A 22,205-nucleotide genomic window follows, 5' to 3' on the forward strand; every position below is an offset into this window, starting at 1 on the left:
GGGGCCCTGCCCAGAGCCTTCGGAGCTAGGTGCACAGGAGGATGTGTGCAGGCGGCTACCTTGACTTCAGCATGAAGCCCAGGTGGAGGGGGGATATCAGGAGGGGTTACAGCACCCCTCAGCCCCCACGCAGGGGTCAGTTCCTCACCATTGTCACTCAAGACACAGCAGTCCGGAAATGAGCATTTTAATGCAGAAAGAAAACCATGATAATTTACAAATGAATCACTTTCTGGGCCAGAGCCAGGAAGGCCCCAGGAGCTGTGAGGGTAGAAAGGGAGGTGGAGGCTGTTGAGTGTCCGGGCAACCAGTTTAGTCAGCACCTTTCTGATGGGATCCTGCCCAGGCTCTCCCACGATAGGCCCTGGGGGGCCCTGGCCCCCACCCCATCCTCTTGGCTCCCTCTAGTCATTCCAGATAGGAAGACCTCGGGTCAGCTTCAGGACATAAAGTAGAGCTGGAGAGACATCCCTGGAAGGAGGGCCTGAGGGCCAGGGAGGGAACAAGGCAGGAGACTGCTGGTTCTGGTTTTGGCCACCTCACCCTTGGCCACGTCCCCTCCGGCTAAGCCACAGCACAAAGCAGAGCCAGGCTCTGGAGGCCCAGGGCCTCACCACTCCCTCTCCTGTCCCCCCAGCAGGGGGACAAAACAGAAGCACAGGAGAGCACGTTGGGGAGCATGTTTCCTCGGGCTGAGGTTTGATTGGATCTGGTTTGGAGAAGGTGAGGGATCTCAGAGGAGGTGGCTGCTGGGGAAGATGTCATGCTCAATTCTTGGCCCCCACCCATCACCAAGATAGGTACATCCATGTGTCAGAGTTGGTGTGATGCTGGTTTGGAGCTCAGCACCTCCCACATGGGGCATGCAGGGGGAGACGGACTGGAGGCTCAGGGCACTGGAGGTAGAAAGGAGCCCTCCCCGCCTCCTTCCCCAGGCCAGGAAGGGGTAAACACACATATAAGGCAGCCCCAATTCCAGCAGGGCCTGAGGCTGGGAATGATGTGTTTCCCAGGGGTGGTTATGGTTCAGGACCTGGCTGCAGGCACTTCCTCCCAAGCCTGGTGGGGTGAAGGGGACCCCCGGAAGGGGGTCCTATCAGCCCCTCCAGACAGGAGAATGAGGTCTTCAGTGGCAACCACTGGGGTCTGGCGGCAGGGACAGAGCCTTCTCCCTGGACACCCATGTGTCCCCTCTCCCACCCTGTCCAAGGGTGTGGATCCCAGAGTGCAGAATTGAGCTCTGGAGAACAGGTCTGGCCAGACAGATGGGTAGGGGAGGGATGGGGTGGCTGGTCACTTTGGCATCTCCAAGGCTGACGCTTGAGGCTTCACCTTGAAGTACTGGTTGAATCGGATCACTGCGTACCTGTGGGGAAGACAGAAGGAAGCTGGGTGTGAGGAAGAAAGCCAGGTGGGCCCTGCTGGGGGTGCTGACATCATGAGAAAAGTTTTTCAGTGGCTCTAGGCCTATCTAAGTCTGAGCAGATCAACCCCAACCCAGACTGATTAGTATTATTATTTCTTTTGCTTCTTTTTAAAATTTTTAATATTTATTTATTTTGAGACAGGGTCTGGATCTGTCACCCAGGCTGGAGTGCAATGGCATGATCTTGGCTCACTGCAACCTCTGCCTCCCGGGCTCTGATGATCCTCCCACTCAGCCTCCAGAATAGCTGGGATTATAGGTGCACGCCACCACACCTGGCTAATATTTGTATTTTTTGTAGAGACAGGGTTTCACCATGTTGCCCAGGCTAATCTTGAACTCCTGAGCTCAAGCAATCCGCCTGCCATGGCCTCCCAAAGTACTGGGATTACAGGCATGAGCCACCGTGCCCAGCCTATTTTTTTTTTAACTTCAACTACATTTTTTTTCTTCTTAGATCAGACTAGAGAAACCCTTCCACAAACATGCTTGTTTGGAGTTTTGTTTTTACCGTTCTATATTGTTAAGTATATTCACATTGCTGTGCAAATGAATATCTACAACTTTTTCCTTTTGGACAACCGAAACTAGACCTATTAAGCAATACTCCCCATTGCTCCCTCTCCCCACCCCCTGGCAACAATTCTACTTGGTTTCTATGGATTTGACTACTTTAGTTATCTCTTAAAGAACCATATTTGTCTTTTTGTGACTGGCTTATTTAGCGTAATGTCCTCAAGATTCATCCACGTTGTAGCAAGTGACATTTCCTTCGTTTTTAAGGCCAATATTCTATTGCATGTATAGACTATATTTTATTCATTCATTCATCTGTTGACAGACAGCTGGGTTGCTTCCATCTCTTGGCTACTATGCCAAGAATAATGTTGCCATGAACATAGGTATATAAATATTTCTTTGAGAGTTTGCTTTCAATTATTTTGGCTACCCACCGAGAAATGAGATTGTTGGATCATACGGTAGTTACATTTTTATTTTTTGAGGAACCACCCTACTGTTTTCCATAGTAGCTCACCATTTTACATTCCTACCAATGGTGCAGAAAGGTTCCAATTCCTGCATATCCTTACCAACAATTATTATTTTCTGTTTTTTAACAGCAGCCATCCTAATGGGTGTGAAGCGACATCTCACCATGCTTTGCTTTTTTTTTTAATTAAATTTTATTTTTTTATCATTTCATTTTATTTTATTTTATTTTTTTTTTTTTTTGAGACGGAGTCTCGCTCTGTCGCCCAGGCTGGAGTGCAGTGGCGGGATCTCGGCTCACTGCAAGCTCCGCCTCCCGGGTTCACGCCATTCTCCTGCCTCAGCCTCCTGAGTAGCTGGGACTACAGGCGCCCGCCACCACGCCCGGCTAATTTTTTGTATTTTTAGTAGAGACGGGGTTTCACCGTGTTAGCCAGGATGGTCTTGATCTTCTGACCTCGTGATCCACCCGCCTCAGCCTCCCAAAGTGCTGGGATTACAGGCGTGAGCCACCGCGCCCGGCCTCACCGTGCTCTTCATTTGCATTTCTCTAATAGTTGTGAACACTTTGAAACCAGGGTAGTGATTCCCTTTCAGCTGAAGGTGGGTGAGGAGGAGAAGGGCAAGGCCCTGGACCAGAATGGAAGGAGAAATGATTCCTGGCCTTAGGTACATAGGAGCCTCACAGGACAGGGACTCCCTGAATCATCGATACACAAGCAGCGGCTAGCTACTGAAGGAGTAGCTGGGGCTGTCGCCCAACCAGAAGGCAGCATGGTAAACCCTTAACCACTGCATGGCTTCAGCAAGTCACTTCTGCTCTCTGGACCTCTGTCCTCTCTGCTGTAAAATGAGGGTAAGACCTACAGTCGTTCAGACTGATTTTCAACGATCCCATCCACCACCAGGCTCTGTGGATAGGTGCGCTGGAAGCAGGGTGGGGAGTGGAGTAGGCGGTAGGATTTCGTGGGGACTAGCACACCTCCTACGAGGAACAGGGAGGATATGACACTTCTCTTTTCAGAGTGGTACTTTCCTGGCATCCCCTGGGGATAGTGGCCCCGCTGGAGATGAGCTGGAACGGGGGCGAGTCAGCAGAGCAGGGGAGCGGACTCTGGGCATTCTGCCTGGGCTGTCCTTTGCCCACACCCTGGGCTCAACCAAGGCTCTCCCTTTTCTCCACGTCCCACCATCACCCCCACACTCACCTGAGGAAATCAAAGTCGATGGTGGAGTACTGGTTCTGGATGAGGGCCCAGAGAGCCCAGAAGAAGTGAGACGCCTGGAAACAGACCAGAGAGGGTCAGCCTGGCAATCTCCCCATGCCTGTTTCCGACTCTACAGCACTGGAGGGATGCAGTCATTGTGGAAGACACACAGCTAGGACCCTGGAAGAGATGTGGTGGGGTCTCCCTAGCACAAGCTGGGGAAATTCTGGAGGCCAAGTCACTGCACAGCATTTGGCGCCTCCACTCCTGCTAGAGAAAGGTGGGCAGAGCTAGTTCTACCGAGGCCCTAATGTTTACCAACCCTAAGGCAGGTAGTCAGCAGTGAGGAATTTTGGGGGGTTCCCACAACCTAAGCAGGACCCACACTCCACCTCTGGTTTCTTCCCTATCCAGGGAAATCTCTTGGAGTCTTCAAGGCCAAGGTAGGATCCAGGCCAAGATGAACCCCTAAGCCAGAGGTTAGGCTTAATGGTCAGTGGGGGGCTGGAGCCTCTCAGGAAGGTGCAGGGAAGGAAGAGTGATGGGCAGCAGTGCCCTGGCCACGTGTCTGCTGGAAGATCCCTACACTAACCTCCTCCACTCCTTTTCCTCTCTCCTGGGAGGCTGGTTGGGTTGGAAAATGAACCTAGATATGGAAACAAGAATCCCCCAAGTCTAGGCATTTGCTAAGCCTCAAACCGTGCTCTCCTTGTGGCTAGAGGTACCCACCAGGCCCAGGTCACCTCAGGCTCAAGAAGCCAGGGATTGGATGGGAGGAGGGTGAGGATCAAAAAACTACCTGTCACACACTGCTTATTACCTGGGTGATGAAACAATCTGTACACCAACCCCGGTGACAGGCAGGTTACCTATATAACAAACCTGCACGTGTACCTCTGAATCTAAAATAAAAGTAAAAAAATAAAATAAAATAAAGCCAGGGAGCTGCGGTTCCCGTCTACCCCTGAACAAACACTAGTGATGCCATCACTTTCCCATGTGAGTCCCCCAACCCTTGTGGCTCTCCCATCCCATTCCCACCCCATCCCAGAATCCTCCTCACTCAGGGGTTGGCTACAAAGTACCTCCCTCCACTTTATTTCCTTTCCATTCCTTAAAAGGGGCATAGATAAGCTAGCACATGTGAATGATCACTAAAAAACTTAGCAAGAGGAAGGCTTGTGCTTAAGGTCTTAAAGTCTTAAGACTGAGGAGGAAGAACCTAATGTAGACTCTGTTTTGTGCCAGTGAGGAAAACAGAATAGGGAATCCGAAATTACAGAAAAGTAAAGATTGTATTTAGCTCTCTTCTGTACTGTGAAATTCAAGGCAGCTGACTTGTCTTCTTACTTCTGCAAGCCAACATTAGCAATCCCTGGGCACACACCGGTGGAGACCTGGCATGAACCAGGTATCTTGGATAAGGGGCACTGAAAATTGAGAACTGACAGCACAGTCATTTGAGCAGGAAGAGCCTGTTGGGAAAAGCTTACTTAGAGTTCTGAGTCAGTGGAGGTAGTTACACAGAAGTATGAGCTTGATATTCTGTATCTTCTCTAAAGGTTAAAAAAATATATATGTATATACACACACACATATAGCCAGGCATGGTAGCTCACGCCTATAACCTTAGCTACTCAGGAGGCTGAGGTGGGAGGATCATTTGAGGCCAGGAGTTAGAGACCAGCCTGGGCAACATAGCAATAGCTGATCTCCACAAAAAGTTTAAAGAAATTAGCCGGGCATGGTGGCACACCTGTAATCCTAGCTACTCAGGAGGCTGAGGTGGGAGGATTGCTTGAGCCTGGGAGTTTCAGGCTGCAGTGAGCTATGATTGTGTCACTGTGCTCCAGCCTAGATGACAGAGCGGGACCCTGTCTCAAAAAAAGTATATATATATATATATATATATATGCCGGGCGCAGTAGTTCACTCCTATAATCCCAACACTTTGGGAGGCAGAGGCGGGCGAATCACCTGAGGTCAGGAGTTCAAGATGAGCCTGGCCAACATTGTGAAACCACGTCTCTACTAAAAATACAAAAAAACTAGTTGGGTGTGGTGGTACATGTCTGTAATCCCAGCTACTTGGGAGGCTGAGGGCAGGAAAATGGCTTGAACCTGAGAGGCGGAGGTTGCAGTGAGCCGAGATAGCGCCATTGCACTCTAGCCTGGGCAACAAGAGTGAGACTCTGCCTCAAAAAAAAAAAAAAAAAAGTATATATACATATATATGGATGAATTTAACTGCAGCATGAAGGGCTGAGGTTAGGCAGTAGAAAGAACTACTTATTCAAACAAGGGAATTGCTAACACAGGAAGCTAGGATATTTCTTGGAAGTATTTCTCTAGAAAGGAGAGAGCCTAGACTTGGTGGGGCTTGGGGAGCAGGGAACAGGGCATCAAGTATTAAGAGCTGCCTAAGATGGCTCTTCCCAGGCTTCACCTCTAGGGTGGGGTCAGGAGCCAGGGATGGGTGTCCCCAGGCTCTCACCTGACCCTGGGCTCTGGGTAGGAGGCTAGGTGGGTCACCAGTCCCTCCTGCTAACTCCTCCTTTCCTGCCCCAGCCCTAGAAATAAGGCACTCACCAGGGCAAACTTGTTGACTTGCACGTAGAGCCTTTGCACCTCCCTGGGGGTCACGGCCATCCCCTTTTGTGCCTGCAGGTAGTAGTGCAGCCACTGCAGCTGGGTCTCCCGCGCCGGGTACAGGCAGTAATCCACCTCATTCACGCCTGAGGGGGAGGCAGGCCAGACAAAGTTGCTCAGAGATGGGCCCACCAAGGGTCTCCTCAAGCTCAGTAGGTGTTCCCATCTCCCCTCAAACTCCCATCTCCTTTGATCTTTGGGGCTGTGCCCAAGGAGGCGGCCCGAGAAGGCAGCTTCTTTGATTACTAAACTCAGCTAGTGTGGGGTCTACCCCATCCCAGCTAGGAGCACTGTTTCTGTGGGATTGAGGAAAGCAGAGAGAGAGGTAGACTGGTTAAGGGGCAAGACACTGTCCTGGGAGTGACAGGAACCCCTCAAGACAGCACCACTGTCTTTCCCAACCCCTGCACAAAAATGATGGTGCACAGGAGGCCCTCAGTTAAAAGCACTGGATAAGCATTACTAGCCCTAGGTCTTATGCTAACCTTGTTAGCCTTAAGGGAACTCTTTTCTATCACTGGCCGAAATTTCTTCATTTATCAAATGAGGGAGCTGGACTTCATGTAGGGATATCAAACATGGCTTCCTGGTGTTAAGCTGGCTACTTAAAAACATCACCTGGAGAGCACCCCCACCCCAGTCCAGTTCCCCAGATGGCTCTGATGTGTAGCCAGGCTGGGAACCCATGGATCAGATGGCTCTGGTTTCTTCCAGCCCCACCATAGCCCTCCAGCTGCCAGCCCAGTACCACCAGCCTCATCCTGGGCATGGTAGAATAAACCACAGCTTCAGAGCTGGTACAGAAAGAAGTGGTTTAAGACAGGAGGACCAGGACTGGGCCACCTTCTCTAGGGTTCCCTCCTTCCTCTTCTTCTTGTCCTTCTCAAGCTTCCTTTATATCCCTGGAGAAACATACACAGTCTCCTGAGGCTCCAGGAGCGTGGCTAGAAAAGAATCTCCTGGAACAGATGTACAAACGGAGGCCCAGAGAGGAGAAGAAATGCACCCAAGGTCATATGGTGGTTAGAGGCAGAGTCAGGGCTGGAACTCTCATCTCCCAATGCCCAGAACTGTGTCTTCCTCACTCCTGCGCACCCATGAGGCCCCTCTCCCTAGGTCTGGATCTCCCTAGCTCTCTTCCTTCCCCCAGGCTAGGTTCTTCCTCCTCCATTCTCAACTTGAGAGCAGGCTGCAATCTACCCCTTTGGAGAAATTCCAGTTGGATTTTGCTCTGTGCTGTGGGCAAGGAGGACTTAAAATGCTTAAGAATTATCCCTTGTGGAAAGGCCAGGGGGCCTTGCAGCCAAGCATTCCCGGACCCAGGGCCCTGCCAGTGCCAGCCTCTGCTCCATGCCACACCCCGAGGCTCAGCTGCTCTGCCCAGCAGAGGCTCCATCACCCTGGGGGTTCCTAGGTGTACTCTCAGGTACAATCATTGCTCGACAGATTGATCACCTGGGGTTCCAGAAGGAACACAATTGGCCTGATGGGGCTGGAGAATGGCTGTCCAGTTGGCCTGGGCATGCCTCTCTATCCTGAGCCACAGGGCCTGGCCCCATCATGTGAACACTTTACTGTGCTAGTCTGGGGACAGCTCTCCAGCCCCAGTGTCCAGCTCCGTCCATGTGAGTTGCCTCCTCGGTTCCATCTAATTAAGCCCTCAAGCTGGAAAAACCTGCCTTGCCTCCTCTACACAAATGGTTCCATTGTGCATACTATGCCTTTATAGAACACCTGCCTACCCCTAGGAATCACCCCCCTATCCTGCCTCTTCCATCCCCACTCCCGGAAAGCTTCGCAGTCTAATCACAGCAGCAAACACCAATACAATGCTTAGTATGTGTCATACATATGTGTGTGTGTGTGTCTCATATCAACACTATGAGGTAGGTACTATCATCATCTCCATTTTATAGGGGCACAGAGAAGGTAAATAAACTGCCCAAGGGTCACACAGCCAGTAAGCAGCAAAGCCAGAAACTGAACTTAGGGAGTCAAATTACATAGCACATATTTAGATCCTACTTAGATGACTCTCATCAGGCCACCAGGCAAACAGCTACTTGTAGCTTGTTCTGCTCCTTATCTACATGTAAGGCCCTCATGTACAATTGCGCCAGTTGTACTGGGTATAAAGGAGCTTGGACAAAGGAGTGGAGGCTGAAGTCATCCTGTGCTGTGCTAGCCAAGCTGCAGCAATCGTCTAAGCTGGGTCTGCCTGGAGGAAGGGGTCTTTTTCTAATTCATGTACCAAGCTGAGTTACCAAAGTGCCATATGGGCTAGGAGAGGTCTGCTCTGTGTATGTGAGTCCTGTTTCCTCCAATGAGACTTGGAACTCTCTAAAAGCAGGCTGTGCCTTAACCCCTTAAGCTGTGATATTTTGGAGGACAAGAGCTATCTAGCCTCTACCCTCTAAGTATAGAACCACCTCTGGCCTTCCCCATACCCTGGCCCTGGTCCCCATCCTAAAGAGGGTGCTTTGAACGTTGGTCAAATATAGTCCTGTATTGCCTAATGACAGGGATACCTTCTGAGAAATGCACCATCGGGTGATTTTGTGTGATCATCAGTGTACTTACACAAACCTAGATGGGATAGCCTACTACACACCTAGGCTGCATGGTATAGCCTGTTGCTCCTGAGCTACAAACCTGTACAGCATGTTACTATACTGAATACTGTGGGTAACTGTAACACAATGCTAAGTATTTACGTATCTAAACATGTCTAAACATAGAAAAGGTACAGTAAAAATATGGTACCTATTACCGTAAATATACAGTAATCTCATAGGACCACCATCTACATGCGGTCAGTCATTGACTGAAACACCGCTACAAAGCACATGACTGTAGAAATGCCCCTCTCACCTGCAAACTCATTGAAATGGTTGCCAATGTCAAAAGCTTGGTAGTTGTAGCCAGCATATTCATAGTCAATGAACCGCACGTGACCTATGAAGTAGAGGAGAATCGATGAGAGTTGGCCCAGGAGATCTGGCAACAGAGCCTGGTCAAGCTTCCACAGACCTCTGGGATGCACCCACTGAGTGATGCCGGCCTCTGCAGCAACCCTGCCCAATCCCATCACTGCAGCAGTCTTCCAAGCTACTTCCATTCATCCATCCATCCATCCATCCATCCATCCATCCATCCATCCATCTGCCCTTCCCAGCTCCCAGTGTCCCTCTCACACAGCTGGATCTTCAGGCTCTCCTCATCTAAAGACAGCTGTCCTCAGCATGGCTAAGGATCAGGAATAAAGCTAAGTATTAATACGCCCTGGGGTGATGCCCTCATCAGCAACACCAGGATGTGTTCGTTCTCTCTCTTTCTTGGCACAGATTTTTGTTTGTTTGTTTTTGTCTTTTTTTTTTTTGAGACAGAGTCTCGCTCTGTCGCCCAGGCTGGAGTACAGTGGCATGATCTCGGCTCACTGCAACCTCTGCCTCCCTGGTTCAAGCGATTCTCCTGCCTCAGCCTCCTGAGTAGCTAGGATTACAGGCGCACACCACCATGCCCAGCTAATTTTTGTATTTTTAGTAGAGATGGGGTTTCGCCATGTTGGCCAGGCTGGTCTTGAACTCCTGACCTCATGATCCACCCGCCTTAGCCTCCCAAAGTGCTGGGATTACAGGCATGAGCCACCGCGCCTGGCCAGACTTTTTTTTTTTTTTTAAATAGGGTCTTGCTCTGTTGCCCAGGCTGGAGTGTAGTGGCTCCATCATGGCTCACTGCAGCCTCCACCTCCCAGGCTCAAGTGATTCTCCTGCCTCAGCCTCCCGAGGAGCTAGGACTATAGCATGTACCACCATACCAGGAAAAGTTTTGTGTATTTTTTTTGTAGAGACAGGGTCTCACCACATTGCCTGGGCTGGTCTTGAATTCCTGGGCTTAAGCAATCCACATGCCTTGGCCTCCCAAACTGCTGGGATTATAGGCATGAGCCACTGAGACTGGCCCTTGGCACAGACTTTTCAAAGTGGGAATTTTTTATTTCCTTTCCCCCTTCCCTCCTACAAATTAACTTAAGACCTAAATCAAGGTCTAACTTTTGCTTGTCCAAGTGCCAGCCGGAAGAACAGCTCCGTGAAGCCAGCTAACCAACCAACCAAAACCCTGCTGCTGCCCCAGGGCCAGAGAAGCCATACCTTTGATGCTGTCATAGATGATATTCTTGCAGAGCAGGTCATTGTGACAAAACACCACAGGGGACTCCAGCTGGGACAGATGCTCCTTCAGCCAGGCCAGCTCCCGTTCCAACACCTCTACCTTAGGGACATCTGCAGAAAGGCTGGGCAGTGGCAAAAAAGGTAGCCAGTGAAAGGAGGGCTGATAGACAGGTGCTTGGCCTCAAGAGCCCTGAATCTGAGCCTCATCACTCCCTCTGTCTTACTGCAGGGGGCCTTGGAAAAATGGCCAATCTCTTAGACCCTCACTTTTATCATCTGTAAAATGGCACTGAGGCGTCCTGTCCTTCTGACTCCTCTGGTTATGCTAGGAAGCTGATAAAGACATGGGCGTCAAAGCATGAGGCAGAGCATAAAAGTCACTGACTGAGGGCATCCCTGCTACTTTGTGAAAGGAACAGGAGGGTAAGGAAGGAGACACAGGGAAAGGACAAGGCAGGTGAGAACGAGTGTCCAGACCTGGGGATTCCAGACTAAGAACAAGGGCAACAGGAGCAGTGGGGAGAGATGCAAAACAGACCTGATCTTAGGATGCTGGGAAAACTCCCCAGGAGGCGGTGCAGCTCCCTAAGTCGAGCTGACTCCCACAAAGATCCTCCCCAGGAGGAAGAGTAGTGCCCTGGCAGGGAGCTGGAGCAATGGAGCTCTCTTGAGGAGGCAGAGGTATGTCCTGGTATGCACCCCCCTCTCACCCCAGCAGCTGACCATGTCACAGGTAGAAGGGATCAGAGAGACGGTCTGGTCTAACCTCTCATCTCACAAACAGACCATCGGCTCACATGAGAAAGCAAACTAAGAGCTTCTTTAGCTCACTCCTACACTGTCAAAGGAACATTAAAGCCTTCAATGAAGAGCATGCTTGCTTTGTGGCTCCCCATTGACTCATCCCTTCTACCTTGAGTTATGAGTAAGTGTTCCCTTGTCCCAGACCCCTGCCATATCATGCAAGTGCAACCTGGGGGCATGAACAAAGATGCATGGGTCAACCTCTCCTGCTGCCCCACCCCCATCCCAAGCACTCAGCAGCCATTTCTGCTGAAAGAAACACATGTTGAGGAATGAAGAAATCAGCCAATCAATCAAGTTATCAGAGGCCATGTGGAAGTCTGATGAGGGTCCACTGTGCTTGTGTGCTCTGAACTTTGGTCCCCAGGAGGCACACAGGTCTGTGTACACTGAAAAGGCCAAACACTTATCACAGTCCTTAAAAAACCTAGAACCACCAATGGGCAGAGGGGAGGAGGCTGGGCTTTTATCTCCATTCCTGTGTCACCTGTTTGTGTTTCTCTGTCCAGGGTAGCAAGAGCACATAGAGAAGGATGAGGATGAGACCGGCCCTCTCTCACCTTCCCACAGGACAGACCGATCACTCCCTCACCCAGCCCAGGGGCCAGAACACGAGAAAGAGTATTCAGTGACTGAGGCACTCCTCTGCCCCCTCTGGAGAAGGAAGAGAGGACAGGGTCCCTTCCAGGCTTTGAGAAGGTCAAAGCTCAAGAAGATCTGAGGTTATCTAGTCCAGCCCCATTGGGAAACTGAGGCTCAAGGAAGGAAAGAGCCTCCCTCCAAGCCTCCAGATACCTCTTGCACTGCTGGATCCTTTACTTCTTCATTTAAGGAAAGCAGTCCTTGGCCCGTCCAAGGATCCAAATCGAACGGAGTCTCCTAATTGTGAGGACTGTGCACTCTCTCTGAAGGCCTGGGTGCCCCTCAGAGGTTCTGCAAAGGCCTCTCTGAGTCCAGGGAGTCTGCTGGGAGAGGTGATATGGGGGAGGCCTCCCCCATGCTTCCTGGAGTTTATCTGTGCCGACAGGTCTGCGTAAGATGTGTTTCAGTCCTGGCTCTCCTTAAGAAGCTACCTTTTAAGATTCCTTTTTTTTTTTTCTTGGACTGAGACCATCAAAAGGGAAGAATTAGGAGGGTTCCTTTGGTTTGCTCAGGTCCCGGCCTGAAAAACATGGCTCTGACATCCAAGATGCCTGCTGCTCTGTCCCTGACTTCAGTCTGAACCCCACCCTGCCCACCCCAAGGCCACGCAGATGGTTACTGTGGGAACAATCCCAGCCTTCTATCTCCCCGGGGCCTCCCTCCCTGCTCTGCTTCCCTCCCCTGAGCACTTGAAACATCGCCAGCTTTGCTACCTTCAGTCCCGCCACCACGGGGCTCTTTCAAGGCTGTGGGATCGGCAGAAGAGTAACCACCACCGCATCCCAGAAACACTGCCCAGGAAAAACTGCTCCTTCTGCTCCTCTGCCCCAGGGCCAGCAGGAGGGGAAGGAAGGGGCTGGAGGTCTCTGCAGGGAAGCCTTGGGGTTCCTCCTGATATTGGGACTGCTGCCTGGCCAGTTTCTACTCTGCTGTCAAGATCTGGACAGGCAAGAGTACTTTCTCCCCACAGGGCTCTTTCTAAGCGTTTGAGCTTACTGGTTTCACACTTTGCCCTCCCACCAACCCACCCACCAGTATCTCCTTGTGATGGCCCAACCCAGTTATCCGCCCCACGTTCTCCCAGCCACTCTGGACACATCCATGTCAGCTTAGGGCTTAGGCAGCTTAGGGCATGGATCCAACACCAAGGCTACTAAATCTATTTCCACAGGTGTCCGACACATCCTGCTCTCCACCCGCCACCTCAAGTTGCCGTAGGGCAATGTTCCTCAATCACTTGCCTCAGAATCACCTGGGGTGCCTATCAAAATGTAGCTTCCTGGCCGGGCGCAGTGGCTTACACCTGTAATCCCAGCACTTTAAGAGGCTGTGGCAGGCAGATCACTTGAGGCCAGGAGTTCAAGACCAAGCCTGGCCAACATGACAAAACCCCGTCCCTACTAAAAATACAAAAATTAGCCGGGCGTGGTGGTGGGCACCAGTAATCCCAGCTACTTGGGAGGCTGAGGCAGAAGAATCACTTGAACCTGGGAAGCAGAGGTTGCGGTGAGCTGAGATCATGCCACTGGACTCCAGCCTGGGCAACAGAGTGAGAATCCATCTCAAAAAAAAAAAAAAAAAAAAAAAAGCCATTTCCTAGGGGGCAAATGCAAGACCTCTCAATTGATCTCCAAAGTTGGGCACTTCAGGGGAATCTTATGCTCAAAGTTTGGGAATCCTAGTCCTAGATCTTGTTCACTTAATTACATCACTCCCAACTGGTCTTCCTACCTCAAATCCACCCTCCCCCACCAATCTGTCCCTTATGATGCTAGAGGACTTTCTTCCTAAAGCCCAGTCCTGGTCAGGTTACTGACCTGAATCTCTGACTCAAACATCTTCATGACTTCCCGCTACTTGCTAAATTAAATCTTGGCTACTTAGCCTGACATTTAAGGCCCCTTACCACCTAGCTCCAACTCTGTAGTCCACCCCCGCCCCCAAACCCTTCCCAGGTCCTCCCAAAGATCTGCTCCAGCCAACCTCATCTACTCGTCACTCAGGAGCAAACCCTGCTCCAGCCATCTCCTCCAGTTGGAGTAGCCTCCCTGCTTATTTCTGCCATGCCACCTCTGCCAAGACAACTTTCCCTGGTTCTTCCACCCCCAGCATACATTATACACACCCTGCCTTATTTTGCAGCTGTGCATGGGCATGTCCTGTGTACCTAGATGGCTCTTAAGCTCTTTGAGGGCAGGGCCAGTGTCACATTCATTTTTAAATTGTTTTAAATCCCAGTCAATCAATGTCTGTGAAATGAAGGATTGAATAATTCAGGGTTATTAGGCAATGCCTGGAGCTCCAGGTGCTTATCTCGTCTAAATGATTGCTCATCATTGTTCTGCTTTTGGGCAGTCAGGCAGCTTAGGGCATGGATCATCCCCTAAAGAGGCTCAACGAAGTTAAGCAACTTGGTTTGTCCAAGGTTCAAAGGTGTGACAAGAGCAAAGAGATTGGGCCAGCTCTTCTCCAGGGATTACTCCCTCCCAGTAAGGTTACCCCCAAGGTCACACAGTGACAGCACAGTCAAAGGAAGCTGCAGTATCAAGGATTATGTCTGAGCACCAGAAGCCTGGCTCTAGTTGCTAAGCTGCCACTGATCAGCGACCTTGGGCAGGTTCCATCCCCTCCCTGGGCCTCGGTTTTCCACTTGTCAAATAACAGCTGTGGGCTGAAAGGTTGGAAGGACCTGTTCTCTACAAACTGTTCTAACCCTGAGGGAAAAGGAGGTCCTTGTCCCAAAGAGAATATTTGACATACAAGGTCTGAACATGGTCAAAGAGAGGGCAGGCCTGGGCCACCTTGGACAAATAGTCCCAAAGCAGTGCTTGATAGGCATGGCATGGGATGATGCAGATAAAGTCATGCATGTGTGTGACAGAGACATACTCAAAATGGGGATAGAGTTAATTATTATCTTGTCATCTTGGAAGAGGGAAGACACATCCTTCACCTCAAACCTCTTCTGCACCCTACTCCCATGAACATTTGGAACACGGGTGATAGCCAAACCCAGCAGGGAGCGTGAAGGAATGAGACTCACTATTGCCTTTTTTTGGAGGAGGGAAGGCAAGACACCACGCTTTCCTCCAGGCCTCCATCCTTTCCTCGGCACTCAGGGTGTGTTGGGGAGTCAGGCGTCTAAAGGCTTGGAGGACTCTCAGGTTGCTGGTCAGAGTGCTTAAGGGAAAACTCAGGGAACCCTGTCTTATCAGGGAAAGGCAATGTCAGGATGGGTGGTCTATCTCCTTTCCTGGGAAGAGCAGTGAAGGAAGCAGCAAGCTGTCAGTCAGAGCAAGGTGGGGGCAGGGTCCCCAAAGGCACATGGGGACAAGAGGGGTCTTGGGAAGTAGCAGGAACCTCGATGTCCCCAAGGGCTTGTCAGCTGATGAGTTGAGTTCTTCTGACTGATGCTAAACTCAGTCCCACCTCATTCTGAGGGCCCTGCCCTGCTCATGGTTCAGAAGGTGGGGCAGGTGGAAAGAGCCCTGGGCTGGGAAACAGAAGCTCTGCCTCTTACAAGCCCCATAACGCTGGGCCAAGCTCAGTCTCTGAGCTTCGGCATCCCCTAAGTAAAATGGGGAAATGTCCCCAACCCTGGTCCCTGCCACAATCAGAGAGTGAAGGAGAAATGAGCACATGGGTATAAAACTGCCCATCTAAGCTCCTTAGTCAGGAGGGCCAACTCTGCTTGGAGACAGAGGCTTACCGACTAGGACTGAAGGGACTGCAGGAGAAACTCCCCAGCCTCCTCCCCGAGACCTAAGCCCTTAAACCTCCTAGCAGGGTGGGCTGGAGCCAAAAGGATGGGGAAGGGAGATCATATTAAGGCAGCCTTGGACCCTCCCAGATCTTTGTACCTGGGGTTGATCTCGTTCTTCACAAGCGTGAAATAATTGTGCATCTTGTGCCAGAGGATGGGCTTGGGCAGGCTGCCGTTGGCGTGGATAGTATGAATCTTTGCCATTTCTAAGGCGATTAACCTACAGCAGGGAACAGGAAGAGTAGAGCATCAGTGCTGGGACATTGCCTTCCCCACTCATTTCCTCCTGGCCAGATAGGGACCCTCCAGGCCCACCAGGGCACTTGCCAGAGGGCCAAGGATGGGATGATTGCAAGTCCCTTAGGAGCACAGGTCCTGCAGAAGGAAGGTCTCAGCAGAAGAGAGGAGAATGAATTAAGACCTTAGCCTGGCTGCTCCCTTTCCAGTGCCAGGCTGGGGCTGCCTCAGGGAGCAGAAGGGCAGAGCAGTGGGGCTGTTGGTCACAGGTCAGTGGCCTTGTCCTACCCCAGTGTACCCATAGCAACTCCTGAGAACAGAGGGGCACCTGGGGATGGGGGCGGGGCTGGCCCTCCTCTCCCCGGACTCTGACCCATCCTCTCAGGGGACGTGAACATAGTTCACTTTGCACCAAGAGATCAGGGGGTGGTGATGCCAGGCAGGGAAGAAATGCCCGCCTCTTATCAGCCTGGCCAAGGTGGGGAGGGAAACAGGCTGGCCCAGGGTAGCCCCTTCCTCTGCTATAGGGAGTTGATGCTGGCGGCTGGGTGCCAAGGCCGCAAAACAAGCCAGCGTTCTATTTTCAAGTTCTTCTGTGGACATTATCCAAGGTCTCAGGAGAGGATTGGGTGGTAGGAAAGGTTGCTGGGAGAAGGTGGGGGTGAATGGAAAACTGACCGGTCAGAGAAGGAGGGCCTTGATAAAGACCCCATCGCCCGAGGCCCTGTGTCCCAGCTGGGCCCTCCCAGTCCTCTTCCAGTCTTCCCTTCCGCTGTCCCACCCCCCAACCGTCTGCTAAGACTCCAACATTCAGCTTCCTTCCAACATACAGCCTCTGCCTGTTGCTTGAATAACAATCACTGGGAAAGACAACAAAGGCCTTAGCTGTTTGAAACCTTGTTACCAAGCTGTTCAAGGGGTATCCTTTCTCTTGCCAGGCCCTGGAAAGAGGCAGGCCATACCCTACTGGGATAACAGAGCAGTTTTGGGGTTCCTCTGGAAGCCCCCAAGGCTCCCACCTCCTAAAGGGTGGAGGAGACAAGGGGCGTGGCAGCAACCTCCTGGGTGAGAGAGGAAGGCTGTGCTTTCTTTCAGAGGCCAGAGGCCCTGGGGCAGAAGGGAACCCACCAGGGTTTGGGCAAGGCAGGGAAACAGACCTGAGACTCAGGCCTTCCCTTCCCAAAGGAAGATTCGGAACAGAGCATGAACAGAGCGTTTTCTTGAATATCAATAGGGCTGTTGTCTGGAATAGCAATGAAAGTAACCTCAACACTCAGCATTTTCATGCTGCAAAGCCTCAGCAGGCTGAGGTTGGGGGTGGGGTTCAAGGGAACATGTAGAGGGTGGTTCCTGGAGGCCTTCCCCATAGACATTCACCTTCACCCAGAGGGATGATGGTCTATCCTGGGAAAATCATCAAGGAAGGGCCTACCTCCTACACCTATCCCAATTTCGGGCTCTCCCCCAGATGTCACGTTCTTCTTCTTATGGAACCTAAATCCACCTTCAATCTTCCTGACAATGGTAATTGTTTGCGTGACAGGATGAGTGACAGCATCGGATACACAGAGGTGGAGGGATCCTGGGAGTGGTGACGACCTGACAATATCTGAGCTTATATGCACCAGATTGAGGGAGAGCTGGGGGGAGTGCAGTGGCAGAAGTCAGGACAGGGTCCCTTTGCACCCTGCTCTGACTTCACATCTCCAGTCTGGGTCCTTTTGGAACTGTTCAACTGGAGCCTGCAAACATCCCTGCATAGGTCTGTATGCCTCTCACACCCTCAAGACACACACACACACACACACACACACACACACACACACACACTGCTACAATACACAACTCAAATATCCCGCCTGACCAGCCGCTTATGAGCATGGGGGTGGAAGAGCTCTCAAATCCTCTTCTTCTAAGTCCCTGCAGAAGGCATGCACAAACACAGCCAGGTGCATTTGGGGTTAAGTGGGTGGCAGGTGAGGAAGCAAAGAAGCTTCTTGCTCTACCCCCAGGTGGGCTTGTTTCCCCTCAGTATGCAAGCCCTCCTTCCCCTTGGATTAGCCTGGGCAGATGCCAAGGCTCCTAGGCAGATCCCCGTGCCACTGTCCCAGTGTCAGGAGTAAACCTCAGCCTGCCTTGGGCCTCACTCAAGTCTGAGTGCCCTCCGTGTGGGTCATGACATTGGAGGGAGGAAGGAGGACACTGCTTGCCATCCTTGTTCTGGCACAGAGGAGAGGGAGATGCTAGGGGTCCTTCTTTGGTCCTCCCCCTTTCCAGGCTCCACAGCATTCCCAGGGCTTGAAGGAAAAGTCCAGTTCCTGGGCCCTACACATCCAAGCATTTACTGGGAGGGGCTCCCCAGGAGCCACAGGTTCTTGTGAGCCTTTGAAAGGAGGCCTTGACAGTTCCCCAAACCTGGGTTCCCACTTCGTCAAGGAGCCAGGAAGGAGTTCAGACTGGCAGAAGAGATAGCATCTCCCTGGGCTGGTAAAACCATGCTTACCCTGGATAGGGCCCATTTTCCTTGACAAACAGAGACAGAGGTAGAAAACCCTGAGTGCCCTGGGGATCTGGCTCAGATTTCATTTCTAAGGCTCTGAGATGTTTCCAGGTCAGACTTGGAGTGGGCAGAGGTTTGAGGCATGATGCCAGGAAGCAGATCTCTGCCGCACTTAGGGAACCAGGTCCTCTGCTCCCATGTTCATCACAATTCTTCCTTTCCTCCCCCAGAACTCACCCTTAAAATCTACAGAAAGCGATAGCCCCTCTCTGCAGAGCAATGCATATAAACATGCATTTTTCATGCAATTTCAGGGAACTCACAGATCTTACAACTCTCCACCATGGACCCCACATGCCAAGGATTTCCAAGCCCAAGGCCTGAAGAATAGTAGAGACAGAGGCCCTGGCACCCTCCTCACCTGAAAAGCCGGGGCTCACGGATGTGCTCAGGCTCCAGGGCCACACCCTGCATGTACTCATAGCACAGCCCATTCTGGAAGGTGCAGTAGAGTTTGGGGGCACAGCTGTGTGCTCGCAGCAGCTGGAAGTTTCTGACCTCATTCTCCCGGTCCACCAGCAGCTCCGTCCGCTCCCCATACACCCGGACCAGCACGCAGTCCTGCATGTCCTCCTCCACATAGCAGGCCACCAGCTTGTTGGTGATGCCATCCGTGAAGCGCTAGCATGGGGAGAGGACAGTGCGTGGGTGGGTGGGTGGGGCAGGATCTCTCTGGTCTCTCTCCTGGGCTCTGTAGCTCCAGCAGGAGGTGCTCATTTGAATGCCGAGCACAACCACCCCAAGCCCCCAGTGCTTTAGCCCAGTCACTCATGCTCCTCTCTGTCCCCAACCTTGGGAGTCTCCAGTCTCTATAGAGTTCAAGAAAAAAATGGTAGCTTGGGTTTAGCTCCCACACACTCCTGGGTGTGCCTCTAGTGAATGGGATTTGGCAGTGGAGAAATTTCCACACTACTTGGGAGGTAGACGCCTCCTGCTGCTCCTTACCCTCCACCCCAGTACGGAAAGAAACATCATGGACCAGAATGTGGCAGGGGAGGGCTGGGAGTTGCCCAGAACACTATGTCCTGACCAGCTGCCAATCACCTTGTGCCGGGCAGTGTGCTCTGCTCTACCCCTTGCCCCATCCAGTGGTGGAGGTACAAGGAGGGTACTGAGGTTGGCACCCATCCCAGGACTTTAGTGGCCAGAGGTCCTTACCAGAAAAGACAGGAGACAACTGGGCTGCGAGCAAGGTTCTCTGGACAGCAGGGTGATGAGGAGAAAGGAACCATGGAATTTACGGGGCACAATGTGACAGAGCTGGGAGGGCCCTAGAGGTCATCTGAACCAATTCTACGTAGGGAAACTGAGGCAGGAGAGGGGAGGGACTGGCAGATAGCACGTTAGATCAGTGCTGGAATTAACCTCAGGCCTGCTTGATGCCTTGACAGTCTTATACCAAACTGGGCCTTTTATTTTGAAAACGCTACTCCATCCCCAGGGCGGGTTCTGTCAGCCTCCACACTTGGTTAAGAACCTCCCCACAACTTTGCCCCCACCCCACCCCAGAATGCCTGTCTGCATGGAGCCGCTACCATTCCAGCACAAGCTACAAGCGCCCCACTCGGCACCTTCCTCCACAGGCAGCCCACAGCGGGGCTGGAGGTAGTCAGCTGGGGAGTTAGCCTAAGGCTCAGTGAGTGGCTCTGCCCACAGGTGTGTCCTGGGACCTGTGTCCAGCTGGGGCTGGGGAAGATGGCCTGTGTGGGGGTGCTGAGCCCGAGCCTGCAGCGATGGTGAGGAGCTGAGTGCTAGCTGGAATTCCACAGGGTGGCTCCTGGGACCCACAGGGGCAGCTCAGAGCCTGGAGGATTTGCTCCCACCATGGGGTGGAGAAGGGGCAGCAATGTATGCATGTATGGCTGGGTCGGGGGGGCGGGGGGTCTCTTAAAAGTTCCCGCCTCCTCAGGTTTCAGAGCTGGCTGGGTACGCGCTTCTGGTCAGCGAGGGGCACCAGCACGCAGCGACAGGGGGTGCGGCCCGCACACGCAGCATGCCGACAGTGGGCAGGTGGCCACCAGGCGTGCCTAAGAGCCCCGGGAGGAGGGGGGCGTGTGCAGGGCCAAGGGAGGTGTGAGCCTAGTTTTGGTAGCGACGAAATCAATCCGTACACAAACCACGTTCCAAACCTTTCTTGCGCAGCAGCCGCGCACCCCTGGGACTGACACCCGGAAGGATGCGAGGACTGGGTCCCCGCATCCCCCTGGCAGCCCTGGCAGGACCCCATCCTCGGCCCCGCGCCCACTCCGCTACCTTGGTCCGAACTTGCTCGGGTTTCCAATGCGGCCGCAGCTCCTGGATGAGGCGCAGGGCCCCGGGAAGGATGTCGTCCGGGTCCACGGAAATGCCGAAGTACGCGACGGCGGCGGCCCTCGGGGGGCCCGGCGGCTCCCGGCAGCTGGCGCTGGCCGCCGCCTTCTCCTCCATGCCCCATGAGCACTGCGGGCAAGGCGTGTGCCTCCTCAGGTGAAAGGACGCGCGCGGCTGAGGGGCCGAAGGGGGCACAGCCATTCCCAGCAGCCCCACCCCCTCGGAGCCGCGGCAGACGCTAGCCCCGGCGGGGGGGTCCGGCGAGGGAGTGGGAGTGGTAGAGGAGGGGCCAGGGGAAGTCCATGACTCAGGCGCGAGCTGCCCGCTTCGATCGCCGGCTCGCGGCCCGCCGCCCACCGCCGACCCCGGAGCGCCGCGGCCCGCCGCGATTGTGACATCACGGGCGGTGGCCCGCGGGAACGCCCCCGGCCCGCCCCCGCCCCGGCCCGCGGGCCGCTGGGGAGCTCAGCCAGCCACCGCCGGCAGCTGAGGCCGCCGCTACCTGGAGCGCGGGGTGGGGGCGACGCCCCCCTGGGGGCCGGTGACGCCGGGGGTGGGGCCTCCGCTGGCTCCGCCCCGCCCGGGTCCCCGCCGGGGCTGGCTTCCCGGCCTCCGAGGCCGCGAGACTCCAGCTCTCTCCCGGTAGCCTGGGGTGGAGGCGGGGGAGGGCTCGTCCTGCGCCCCCACCTCATCCTGGAATAGAGAGATCCGCTGCTCCCACGACGTCAGCTTGGGCTCGCCCCTCTGTGCCCCTGCTCCGTGCCCCCAGTCCCCGGACCCCGGGAAATGGCTCTGCAGGGGCGGCCCCTGCTGCATCTCAAAGGTCCTTCCCTGCAGAGAGCCCCCCCCCACACCCAGGCAACCTCCCATCCCCGACAGAAACACACTGCATGAAGAGGGGACATTGGGTGATAGCGTTGGGGTGAGAGTGTGCCAGTCCAGCAGACTGCGCTGTCCCCTGGCAGGCCACTGAACAGCCAGGGCGTTGGAGTGTTTGGGCACATCCTGGGCAGGACTTGGGGCCAGACTGAGTTAAAGCCTCCCTCCCATCCTGAGCGTGTGAATGGAGCCAGGTAGCAGGCCAGCGGTGTACCCGAGCCCAGTGCTTTGCTTGGCATTCGGGGTGTGAAGTGGACAGACCCTCGCGCGTCCTGGGGAGGACAGCCAAATGCCTGGCGCAGCTAAGGGCCAAAGCAAGGCATGGTGATGGCTGGGGGTGGGAAGGAAGGGGAAGGGGTGACAAGGTGTCCCGGGGCAGGTTGCTGTGGGGAGGAGACATGGAGAGAGGCCAGGCCGGCTCAGGGGGCAAGTCCCTCTACTAGCCAGATTCTCCTTTGGTCATTCTCTGCCACCTTCTGAGCAGGGCTCTGTTGGCTGCCAGCCCTATTTGTTGTAGTGAGGCCTCAGGGATCTCACTAGTCACTATCTCTCACTGCCCCACCCA

The 22,205-nt window shown here is 53.4% G+C and overlaps 1 protein-coding gene and 1 long non-coding RNA gene across 8 annotated transcripts, besides 3 other annotated features; one reads left to right on the top strand and one right to left on the bottom strand.

Moving 5' to 3' along the window:
- Window positions 12-548: an enhancer, noted in NCBI's record as "H3K4me1 hESC enhancer chr1:204100030-204100566 (GRCh37/hg19 assembly coordinates)". NCBI's record gives its function as "activates a minimal SCP1, AML or CMV promoter by ChIP-STARR-seq in naive H9 embryonic stem cells {active_cell/tissue: H9 hESC(naive)}" and the evidence as "EXISTENCE:reporter gene assay evidence [ECO:0000049][PMID:30033119]".
- ETNK2 (ethanolamine kinase 2) lies at window positions 172-21,154 on the bottom strand. Of its 7 annotated transcripts, none has more exons than NM_018208.4 (8): window positions 20,705-21,154; window positions 18,813-19,072; window positions 15,752-15,874; window positions 10,425-10,567; window positions 9,145-9,228; window positions 6,214-6,359; window positions 3,625-3,698; window positions 172-1,366 (listed from the first exon to the last, which is right to left on the bottom strand). In NM_018208.4, exons 1-8 carry the CDS (start codon window positions 20,960-20,962, stop codon window positions 1,294-1,296), a joined length of 1,161 nt encoding a protein of 386 aa, NP_060678.2. In that variant the 5' UTR covers window positions 20,963-21,154; the 3' UTR covers window positions 172-1,293. The 7 variants fall into 7 exon arrangements, with proteins under 7 accessions (NP_060678.2, NP_001284689.1, NP_001284690.1 ...); NM_001297760.2 differs by having other exon boundaries at window positions 3,625-3,804; NM_001297761.2 differs by lacking the exon at window positions 18,813-19,072.
- Window positions 549-1,084: an enhancer, noted in NCBI's record as "H3K4me1 hESC enhancer chr1:204100567-204101102 (GRCh37/hg19 assembly coordinates)". NCBI's record gives its function as "activates a minimal SCP1, AML or CMV promoter by ChIP-STARR-seq in naive H9 embryonic stem cells {active_cell/tissue: H9 hESC(naive)}" and the evidence as "EXISTENCE:reporter gene assay evidence [ECO:0000049][PMID:30033119]".
- On the top strand, window positions 10,518-12,119 carry ERLNC1 (estrogen receptor responsive lncRNA 1). Its single transcript, NR_123739.1, has 3 exons — window positions 10,518-10,586; window positions 10,675-11,370; window positions 11,759-12,119. It is a non-coding gene; the product is annotated as an estrogen receptor responsive lncRNA 1 (long non-coding RNA).
- Window positions 20,233-20,932: an enhancer, noted in NCBI's record as "H3K27ac-H3K4me1 hESC enhancer chr1:204120251-204120950 (GRCh37/hg19 assembly coordinates)". NCBI's record gives its function as "activates a minimal SCP1, AML or CMV promoter by ChIP-STARR-seq in naive H9 embryonic stem cells {active_cell/tissue: H9 hESC(naive)}" and the evidence as "EXISTENCE:reporter gene assay evidence [ECO:0000049][PMID:30033119]".

This window comes from Homo sapiens, chromosome 1, assembly GCF_000001405.40.
Source record: "Homo sapiens chromosome 1, GRCh38.p14 Primary Assembly".
Taxonomy (NCBI): Eukaryota; Metazoa; Chordata; class Mammalia; order Primates; family Hominidae; genus Homo; species Homo sapiens.